General features: G+C 36.8%; 2 protein-coding genes across 6 annotated transcripts in view; one reads left to right on the forward strand and one right to left on the reverse strand.

The window, feature by feature from the left end:
* Nucleotides 1–8,983, forward strand: part of IRGM (immunity related GTPase M) — a 55,882-nt gene extending 46,899 nt beyond the window's left edge. Inside the window, exon 5 of one of the 2 annotated variants that reach the window (NR_170598.1) lies at nt 7,170–7,317. Coding sequence is in view for 1 of the 2 variants with exons in the window: in NM_001346557.2 (NP_001333486.1) it covers nt 7,170–7,221 (52 nt within the window). In the remaining variant the exon portion in view is untranslated. Of the gene's footprint in view, nt 1–7,169 lie in introns of both variants that reach the window. The other variant, NM_001346557.2, reaches the window with a different exon arrangement.
* On the reverse strand, nt 980–11,561 carry ZNF300 (zinc finger protein 300). 4 transcript variants are annotated; one of them, NM_001172831.3, is made up of 7 exons: nt 11,285–11,561; nt 10,445–10,558; nt 9,910–9,964; nt 9,722–9,763; nt 5,009–5,135; nt 4,643–4,765; nt 980–3,554 (listed from the first exon to the last, which is right to left on the reverse strand). In NM_001172831.3, the coding sequence occupies exons 3-7, from the start codon at nt 9,928–9,930 to the stop codon at nt 2,005–2,007; spliced, it is 1,863 nt and encodes a 620-aa protein (NP_001166302.1). In that variant the 5' UTR covers nt 9,931–9,964; nt 10,445–10,558; nt 11,285–11,561; the 3' UTR covers nt 980–2,004. The 4 variants fall into 4 exon arrangements, with proteins under 4 accessions (NP_001166302.1, NP_443092.1, NP_001166303.1 ...); NM_052860.4 differs by lacking the exon at nt 9,910–9,964; NM_001172832.3 differs by lacking the exons at nt 9,722–9,763; nt 9,910–9,964.

The raw sequence follows: 11,575 nt of genomic DNA on the forward strand, positions 1-11,575 counted from the left end.
CATTTTAGAACCAAATTATAAGATTTTTATAAAAAAGGTTGTTGAGGTGTTGATATAAGGTTCATTGACTACTGTGAAAAACTGATGTAATTTTGTTGAGGAGTGAAGAATATGACTAATCACACGTATTAGATACACTGTCAGGGCAACCATAGGATGCACAGATTAAAAAATATATAAAGAACAGACCATCAGAGTAAGCCTGATAAAAGAATTATGCAAAACAAGACATCAGAGTAAGCTCAATGTAACTATTGATGAAAACTAGGTATCTGCCATTTACCAACAGAGGGGAAGCTTAGTTCCACACAACTGTAGCTTCAGTTCCATATAAATAGAGCTAAAAATCCACTAGTTTTATAGCCATGTGCTAGCTACCCAAATGCTACATAGTATTTTTATTTCTGTTATTCAACAATAAAATTAGCAGATCCATTTTATGAATGGGTTTGCTCTTTTGGATTTCTCTTTTCCCACCCCAACAATATATAAATCACCTGGGATGTGGGGGGAGTGATATCTTTAACATTGAGTTCCCACATCCCTGTCCAGTGAATGGCATCTTTAATTCTCAGTTCCCACATCCCTGTCCAGTGTGCCCTCTACTCTACAGTTGTTCTCAACTAGAGGAGCCCCATGTTTTCACAACAGACAGTTTAGCCAAGCAGGAAGGGGATCAAGTGGATAGGAAATCAAGCAGGAAATATGTGCAGATGCTGTGTTTATCACACAGGTATTCTCATCCTTGCCAAGTATGCTCTCCTGCAGGTCACTTCCAGCAAGGGTGCTCATCTAAAAATGCTTATGGGGGAATGGATGGAATGACAGATAGTAGGTGTTATCTTAGAGGCCTCCAGTTCTCAAGGCTATACAGGCATTACTTCTCACACCAAGAGTTTTCCCCTGTAAGTTTTCAGGGCAAACAGTTGGGGCTTCAGGGAAAGGATCACAAAGAAGTGAAGAGACATTAGGCAGGGTCTTTATGTGCAATCACCACGGTTTATGTAAGTATATGAAAATAAATCCAAGTATTAAAAAACACAACCTTAACATAGCAAAAATAAGGCCACCAGGATCAGAAGACAGTAAAATGAGCCACTTATAGGGATAGGCAATCAAAAGCAGAGTGTCCAGAGGGAAAAGCAAGCTCAGACGTGGTTTTTACACATTAGTCTTAACATCTAATGCTTCAAGATAGAGAGTAAAGATTTAAAAAGTACTAATATTAACTGAAAATGAGCTCTGCATTGTATTTGTACTTACTGATAAAAAATACTCAGCTAGGAGAAGTATGTTTGCCTAAAGTCACACAATCTGTGAGGCACTGAGCCAGGATTAAACCCAAGGCCATCTGGCCTCAGTGCCAATGTTTTTCAGCTCCAAGTTCCCAGTTGGGAAGAGTAAAAGGGAGACCTGCTCAAAATGCATCAATCTCAAGGTCCTTCCAGAGATGCAGGTCAACTTATATGCTTGAGATGGGAAAATGCATACAGATCAACTTTACTGAATCTGATCAACCTATCATTCCATTTTTTGTACAAGAACTTTACATGTAGCTTTAGGGGTCATGCTCAAGCCCCTTCTTAAAATAGTGTATAGGTTTTATTTTATTGTTTACTTAAGCTTTCTTCCACGTCTTTTATAGAAAAATTAGTTTATGGCCATAATTATGACAAGCTAATATTAGCAGTTTCACAATGGCTGATTATCATTTTGTAGTATAAGGAATATGCAACTTGACAATATTCTGTATGCTTAACTTGCTGTGCTGATCACTGAGTTCATAACTTTAAAAGCTTTACATGCCATATTAAAAATGTTCTTCATTTATATAACTATTTTCCATCATCTTTGCTGGAAAAGTTAGGCATCACCAAACTAGAAACAAATTCCCTTAAAAATTTTTATCTATTGGGATGTTGTCCCCAAGCTTATCAAATTAATTGGGTTTCTAGTAATTATTAAGGCTTGAGCTAATACTAAGGCTTTTCTGTGGCCAGTTCATTATGATTTTACCACTGTGTGAATTCTCTGGTGTACAGTTAGTTGTGACTTCTGGATGAAGGCCTTCCCACATATAGCACATTGATAGGGTCTTTCCCCAGTATGAATCCTCTGATGTAAAACAAGGTCTGACTTCTGAGAAAAGGCCTTTCCACATTCAGCACATATGTAAGGTTTCTCTCCTGTATGAATTCGCTGGTGTCCCGGAAGGTGGGACTTCTGAGAGAAGGCTTTCCCACATTCAGTACATATATAAGGTTTTTCTCCTGTGTGAATTCTCTGATGTCCAATGAGATGTGACTTCTGGCAGAAGGCTTTGCCACATTCACTACATTTATAGGGTTTTTCTCCAGTATGTGTTCTCTGATGTATGATGAGCTGTGACTTGCGGGAGAATGTCTTTCCACATTCAGTACATTCATAAGGTTTTTCCCCAGTATGAACTAACTGATGTGTAATGAGTTCTGTCTTCCTGCTGAAGGCTTCCTCACATTGAGCACATTTGTAGGGTTTCTCACCAGTGTGAATTCTTTTATGTATAATGAGGTGGGACTTCTCACAGAAGGCTTTCCCACATTCGGTACACTCATACGGCTTCTCTCCAGTATGAGCTCTGTGGTGTATAATCAGCTGTGACTTCTGGGAAAAGGCCTTCCCACACTCTCTACATTCATAGGGTTTTTCCCCAGTATGTATTCTCTGATGTATAATGAGGGGTGATTTCTGGGAGAAGGCTTTCCCGCATTCACTACATTCATAGGGTTTTTCCCCAGTGTGAACTCTCTGATGTATAATAAGGGACGATTTCTGAGAGAAGGCTTTTCCACATTCAGAACAATCATAAGGTTTCTCCCCAGTATGAGTTCTCTGATGTACAACAAGATGAAACTTCTCACTGAAGGCTTTTCCGCATGCACCACAATCATATGGTTTCTTTCCAGTATGAATTCTTTGATGTACAATGAGTTGTGACTTCTTAGCAAAGGCTTTTCCACATGTAACACATACACAGCTTTTCTCTTTAGTTTCCACATTCTGATATTGAATAAGGGATTGTGTATTTCTAAAAACGTTTCCACACTGATTATCATCAAAAGGTATTACTCCATTGTGAATCTTCTCAAGATTAGAATTGGGCTCACTCTGGCTAGATGATTTTCCACCTCCAAAACTCTGATCAGGTTTTTTTCTTGAATTGCTCTTATAACAACTCGGTAGGTCAATATTTGGTTTTAAGTTCTTTTTAAAAGCATCATATTTATGGAATCTCTGTATTGATATATCTGTTTCTATGCACTCTTGAAATATTTTCCCCAGTGGATTATATTTATGCCCTGATGCCTCAGTCACTGTTTTGCTGTTAACAAATGTGACCTGCCTGAAGAGTTTGTCTTGATTCTCTAGAAATCTCTGCAGCTGACCATCACCTTGACAGACTTTTAAAATGGAGCACAATGAACCATCCCTTGTGACTCCTTTCAGTATCTTATGATGGAAGGAAACTGTCCCCAAAATACATGACTGGGAGTTGTGAAGGTTACTCTTCCTGTCTAAAAGAAGAAAAGATACAATTTAAGAGTCATCACAAGAGTCAATTAAGAGGGTAAAGAAGTAGAACAAATGGATGATCCAACATAGTAGATGAACTCACAAAAAAAGGATGGAAACAGGTCATCTCAGAAGACAGTACAGCATATAGTGTTATCAGGTGAATAGACAGACAAGAATGTTAAACAGAAATATTCATGTAAAAACTAAACTTAAAAGAGATGAAAAAGTGGGGTCTCATCACTAATTTTTGATTATTCTTCTAGAATATTTCACTTCTGCTTTCTGAATAGAAACCCCTTTTCACCTTTTAATTTCATTTATATTATAAATCATGTGCTACACATTCTTATTATCCTACCATCACTCTAAAAAACAAGGTATCTTCTGTATGCAAAATACTTTAACTCTCCTCCATCTATTTTCCTAACAACTAACAAATAATAGAAAAATCCAATATCCTGCTACAGATTCAGTATCAGAGTCAAACTGAGAATACAGACGTAAATTCCACTACTCCCAATAAACTACTTTCTATACATGTCAAGTAAAACTAGTAAAGTTCTCCCAGAAAAGCTGTATCTTCCTGACCCTAAGGTTTTGTTCATATACTCTCTCTCCAACACTGCTTGCCTTCACCCTCCTCCTTCAGCCTCATCAGCATTTATGTCATTCAGAGCAGTTACAGTTGCATGCTCTGAAAAATGTTTCTCAAATACGCTCACATCTCTTTAGACTCTTAATTTTCTCTGAACTTCTAAAACAGTAACTGTATTTGACATTTAATTTAATACAGTCATTTATCTGGGAATATTGCCTTTTAAAGCACAGCTTGTGTTCTTGAAAGGAATTTGCCTTCTATTGCCTTTAAAACCCTTTCAGGAAAGACAACAAATATAAACATATATATATACACACAAGAGACAGGATCAACAACAAATAGAACTCCTCTGAAAGGCTTCACAATTACTTGTTGAGTGACTACTAAATTCTCAGCATAGAAGCAAAGAATAGGAGATTTTGATAAGGATAGAAACATAAACCTCAGGCACCAATCAATTAAAAAAACATAAATTGATATTTCACTTCCCTTGTCTCCCATCTGCCTGATATTCATCTGGATAGATCCAATTTGATATGTCTCCCTTTATGATCCATGGCTCTTCTCCTTGTTCCAACTTGGAGATGACATCTGGTTTGGAAACTGGATACCCTATTAAACAGAAATCACAGAGAATTGAGATTGACTGCACTGAAGGAAAAAGAGAAGGTGCAGTTTCAGATGGTCTACAATAAAGCTGTCCAGTTAGCCCTCAACAAAGGCATAACCTCCATTTGCAAAGGTATGAAGGTCATAAAAGTCATGACATATGTCAGGAACAATCTAATCACAGCAACTAGTAAGGAAAGGCACTTGATTGGACAACTCTGAGTTATTCAGGGAAGCCATCCTTACCCATTGAGACCAGGTGGCTGTAGTTCTCCAGCATCACATCCCTGTACAGGGTCCTCTGAGAAGGGTCAAGTTGCTGCCACTCCTCCTGGGTGAAATCCACAGCCACATCCTTGAATGATACTAACCCCTGTAATAGTAAATTCCTGTTCAATCTGAAATGATCATTCTCATAATTTCTGCTATAATGTGCACAACTACATCCACACCTAGTTTTGTATAATAGTTTTTGGGAAAAACAAAATAAAATCCTGTTTTTAGCAAGCAGAGCCAGGCATATGAGGAGAAAAAAAGAGGTAAACCATAAAATGCCTACCTAATACATATAGTAATTTCATACATTTTAAAGGCAGCATCCAAATAACTGGGAGGAAGATGGATTATTGGATGAATCGTTTTGAAACAATGAATAGTAAAGAGGAAAAGAATAATGCTGAAGAAATATTATGGGTTGAGTTGTATCTCCTGAATATTTATATGTTGAAGTCCTAACCCCCAGTACCTCAAAATGTGATATGACTTGGAAACAGGGTCATTGCAGATATACCTAGCCATATGAGGTATTTAGGGTGAAACTGAATCCAATATGATCTGTGTCCTCATCCAAAGGGGGAAATTTGAACACAAAGACATGCATAGAGGGAAGATAATGCAAAGAGAAAAAAGAAGATAGTTATAAAGAAGCCAAGGAGAGAGGCATGAAACAAATACATCCCTCACAGTCCTGAAGAACAACCTTGATTTTGGACTTCTAGCCTCCAGAACTATGAGACTAAATTTCTATTGTTTAAGCCACCCAGTTTGTGGTACTTTGTCACAGCAATCCTAGCAAACCAATACACTATATAATACCTGGGAAAAAGAATAGATTCTGATGGAATAAAAATTTAAACTCTAAAAAGTACTAAAGGCCATAAAAGTAACAAAATAAGACACAGGAGAATTTTAATTAATGATTATAGAGCAGAAATGCCCTTTGTAAGTACATTTTTTTTTAAAAAAAGAAAAGCTACATTTAGAGAATCATAGAATGTCAGAGCTCTAGAAGATCATTAATCTAATCTCTTTATTTCATAGGAAAATGATCTTAGCTTCCCCCAAATGTAATAGCTTTCTTATATACATACAATAGTTAGTAATAGAATGAATATACCAATTACAGTAGCAACAAAAAATAAGGAATCCCAAATGATAAACTCAACAAAAATGTACAGAAAACATTAATGAAGAAACCACAACAAATTAGTGACATAACATCAAAAATGAATTTGGGTAAGAGTAGAGTTATAAAATGTTTCTGGAGGGAACATTGACTATTTTAATTATGTCACCATTATCCTCACAATAGTTGTTAACTAATAGCAGAAACTAATCTAATAGTGATCTGTATTATTTTAAATAAATTGTTCAGACTTTTTCCCCAAATATTCCATAATTACCAAACACCACTTTCAGAATGAAAATGATTATTTCAAATGTCAACATTGCCTGCTTAAAAGCCTCCTTTGTTTTCTTCTTTGCTAACACAGTCTCATCTCAGTCATCTCAAATCTCAAGCTTTCTCTCATCCCACACCAATTCCATATTCACTCTGTCAAGCTGCCAAACAGTTAGTTGTCCATAACAATCCTGTTAATTTTCCTATTGTACATATAAGAAAACTGAGGATTACAGTGGTTAAGTAAATACTTGCCAAAGATGATTACATACTAAATATATGATTGATGAACTCTCTTATCTGCAAGATTTATTCTCAATAGTCTAGGTTCTTGACTACTGCAGTCCAAACTGCCTCCCTGATACTGTAAACATCATGATCTTTTATATTTTATCACTTCAATACCAACCTTAGTCGACCTTTCCATGAAGCACTCTCCATTTTAGTTTCAAAATTCTCAGCCTTCCTAAAATCACTCTGCCCTTTCTACTTTTACAAATGCTGCTTCCTGTCCTCAGCCTACTTCCCTCATGAGCCAAAGTTCAATAATCATTTAAGCCTATTACCTACTTCCTTAGAAATCTGGTTGTTCCCCCCTCTCTGCTATAACAGTACCTGCTCCCATGTCTGCTACAGAACTTTTATGTGTTAATGTTAGTTTCTACATCTCTTTACATCTCTGCCGATGTGTTAATGTTGGTTTCTACATCTCTTTTTTCTCTGCAGTCCTTCCAGAAGAAAACTATACGTAAATCTGCTCAGGATATTCAACAGCTAGCCAGTGCATATGACATATACTGGGTACTTAAGAAACGTTTGTTAAATGAATCATGATTATAAAGAAAAAATAAATTAAAACTTATGTTTAGTTAAACACTGTTTTGTGTATTAGTCTAATTTGTTTTATCTGAAGAAAAGTAACATAAGAAAGATAATAAATGTGGAATACAGAGGAAATCCATTCTGAGAGGTAAATTCATAGATGTTATCATTCTAACATTCTGATTTTGCTTTATTAATGATACCCAAATGCTTCAAAATAATAAGTAGGTATAAATTTCTTAATTTTGAGGAAAATATAGTACATAATCAGTGAAAAATTATACTTTTGTCAACTACAAACAATTTTTACAGCTCAGGTCCCTGGGGAAATGGAAGTGCTATTAAGTGATGGAAGAAATGAAAGGGAAGTAGGTGTTAAAGGCTGAAAAGGAGGATATGTGTAAAAACGACTTCACTTCTGGATGGTAGGGAACTAATATACAGCCCTCTTCCTGAAGGAAGAAGCATTTAATCAACTAATTAGCCACAGCAGTTGGATTTACTGGGCTAAGTAAAAAATCCATTCTCCCTCAAAGCAGTGCTGTGTAACAGAAATATAAAGCTAACCAGATAGGTAAGTTTACATTTTCTAGGAACCACATTCAAAAAATTATTTTCAATAATATACATTTATTCCCATATATTACTCAAGATATCGTTTCAACATGGAATCCTTAAAAACTACTAGTGAGTTTTTTGGAAATATAACTTTGAAATCTGGTATGTACTTAACATATCTCAATTCAGACTAGCCAATTTCAAGTGTTCAGTAACCACATTTGGCTGATGGCTACTATATTAGACAGCACGGCTCTAAAACAAAGCTACTGAAATCCAAAAACAAAAACAACAATGAAAAAATCTTTTTGCAATAGAACTCTAAACTCTACTGTAAAATATACACAAGGACTCCTAATGTAAAAGCTGATTTCAAGATTTCACAACGATAATCATAATGATGATGTAATAACAGCTGACACTTAAATATATCAGTACAAACCATGCCCCAGTTATGGTTTTAAGCATGGTTTTTACTCAATTCTCACAACAACCCTATGGGGATTATAATCTCTATCTGTAAGATGAAGAAACAATCCCAGGCAACCAGGCCACAAGGAAATATTATGCATCTGATAAAATAGTAAAGGAGAATTCTATGTACTGATATGGAAAAAGATATTCTAAGTGTATACAAAAGACCTTTATATTGGACAGTAAGTTAAAAATCAGGTTGCAGAACAAAATATTTACTATAACCTTCTTTTTCCAAAAGAAAAGCGCAAGAAAATAAGAGACATTCTCACACATTTGTACTTCTACATATAAACTGTTAATCAATCACAGTTATATTCATATCAAAAAAGGTTTGGAAGGTTAGAAGCAATGGTTAACACTGATTATCCTGGGAGAAGGTGAGTTTAAGTTAAAAGGTCTCTCTGTTTTAAATTTTTATCTTTTATATAATTTTAAATGTTTATATGCCAATGCTGGCAGAAAGAAAAAATAATACAAACTTTTAAAAATGGGAGAGCAAAGAAGGAACAGCCTTGAACTTGACACTAATCCTACAAATTCTGAAAGCACAGCAAAAGATATGGAGCATCAGGGACCTTTGCCCTCCAAAGATTTGCCAGATAAATATAATTTAAGAATGGCTTTTTTGAGAGAAATACATAGTTTAGAAAAACATTCAAAATGTGCCTATCTTACGTTAATGAATTTACCTGTGGATAAAGCTGGACAATAGGAAGCATCTGTAATCAATTTGTTCCTTGAAAGCAGGGGTCAACAAACTTTTTCAGTAAAGTTTACATTTTTGGCATTGCAGGCCATACGGTTTCTGTTGTAACTACTCAACTCTGCCATTGTAGCTAGAAAAAAGCTATAGACAACATGTAAACAAACAGCATGGCTGTGCTCCATAAAACTTTCTTTATAAAAACAGTTGGAGAATGGGATTTGGCCCATGGCAATAATTTGCCAACCCTCACTCAAGAATAAGGTTCAAGGAGTTTGGCTAGACATTATGATACATCCCCTCTAAAAAAGATCGTTTTAAGACACCACTACAAGAAACCTACTGTGGCATTTAGCAAAGGAGTGTTGGTGAGAACACTGTGCACTCCACCTCCTAGAGTAAAAGCCAAAAAGGAATTTATTTTTAGTCTTATATGGCTAGAAACATTTTCTTAACATGGGAAATTTATCTTTCTCTTTAGGGAAATGCAAATCGTGTAACTCATGATGTCTGCAAGTAAGATCAGAACAATTAGTACATTAATTTATAAAAATGGTTGCCAGCCAGGTTTTTTACATATTACCTAGAAACTCTTTCGAGGTCTTGATCTTTGTTGTTACCACCTTTTCCTTCATCCAGATTTTAGCTAACTTTACTTTCCATTTGATTGTATGAAAAACCAAAGAAGAATTTTTTTTTTTTTTAAAAAGCAACTCACCTGGGACTTCATCATTTTTTGCTCTTCCAAAAGGCCAGATGACTGAAAAAGCAAAACTGGTGATCAGAATGTTTTTCATAGTCCAAACCCAGACTGCAGCTTTCACATTCACCAATCTTGCAACAACTAACATCAGAAGTCAAGTAACTAATGGGCTACCCTGTGGGATAAGGTTGTTTGAGCCTTACAGAAGTCTCAGCAGGCACCATGTGGAGGAGGGATCATTCTTTACTCCTCTTGTACCTATAATATGATCACATAGAAGTTGACCAAGGTTTTATAATTGGATAGATGTGAAGATATGTTTCCAGTTGATTTACTAACAACTTACTGTTCCCCTTGGGAATCAGCAATTCTATTTATAGAAGATTTTCATGAGGCAATAATCATGGATAGCTATATAAGGATATAAGTGAAGATGGAGCTCCTTGGCAGTAAGAATGGGAATGACCAAATGGAAAACTGAGGCATGTGTTCCCTATTCCTAAAAAGAACCAGCAGCTGAATTCCAACAATTTTCCAAGAACTCTCTTATATTTTCCCCCAACTTAGAAAACTCTTGCTAAATCAATGTGCATGAACTCAAAGGTTAATTTTAAGATGTTTTCTGTTTAAATTTTTATTGCTCTTTTTCAACAGCTCTATTGTCTGTATACAAAAATGGTGATAGGTTGGAACCACTGGAAAAAAAAAGAGTATACCACAATGCAGGAAGGTAAATACCTGGTAAATTTTCCTCAGTCCCAGGACAAGTCATGCAGACAGAGCTGAACTATTTCAGAGGACGTGGGGGCTCCCATGACAGACAGATTATTTTATATGGGGGTATCAAAACATCTGGAAGGAAACAAAAGAAACAATCATACTCATCTCTGGATATCCCGCAGATGCTCAATAAATGTCTCTTGAATAAAATATAAAATGATTTAAATAAACTTAGAAAGTGGAGAACTGAAATCAAACTTTTAATTATGATTTTATCAGTTTTGATTTGTTTGGTCTTGTTTTAAAATGACCATTTGATGGGGGTACCATCAGAAATGCTTAGTGGGCAATGGTAGACTAAGAAAAGATGTGAAAAGGGGTTGACCTTTAAGAACTCAAACAGTTGCCTATGACCTGTGGAAATTTAACGTTAAGTAAAGGCCTTCCCCAGTAAAATGTGGCTGACCACCATGACACCGTGGCCCCATTACTGTCCCCATCTAAATCTCGGAATTCTCAGGCCTAGTAATCATATACCCTACTGAACTCCCCCATGTCCATCACATCACTGAACACATGGACGCCCCCATCATTTAGTCCATAGCCTCCCATCACTGATTCCTCAGAGTCCCCTAAATCACTGAACCCAGTTAAACCCACCAGTCAGTCCACCTGCAAGCCATTCCTGACCTAATAGACACCCCCTCACCTCTCACTTCCCTGTTACTAATCACATCTCGGACTCCCACATAAATCCAACATTAATCCCACCTACTTCCCCCACCAGTGATTTCATAAACCTCCTACCACTGACCCTCACGGGCTCCTCTCCTCCCATTACCAATCCCACAGACTCACCCTTCACCGCACACATCCCGCCTCTGACTCCCAGCTCGATTATCAGGTCCCAAAACCACCATCACCGCTTAATGGGAACCGCTGTCACATCCCTATTGGCAAACTCTCCTGCTTCCTGTCCGCGAGCACCACACCGGGCTCCCGAGGCTGCGCCGTTCCGTACTGGGCGGTTTTGCCCGTTCCGCATCTTCAGAGGCTTTGTTCAGGAAGCAACATGGCTGCTCCCTGGAGCTGTTTCCGCATGGGGCCGCCATCTTGAGAGCCCGGTCGTCTTCGTACTAGCGGAGGATT

The sequence above is a fragment of the Homo sapiens genome, chromosome 5 (genome assembly GCF_000001405.40).
Source record: "Homo sapiens chromosome 5, GRCh38.p14 Primary Assembly".
Taxonomy (NCBI): domain Eukaryota; kingdom Metazoa; phylum Chordata; class Mammalia; order Primates; family Hominidae; genus Homo; species Homo sapiens.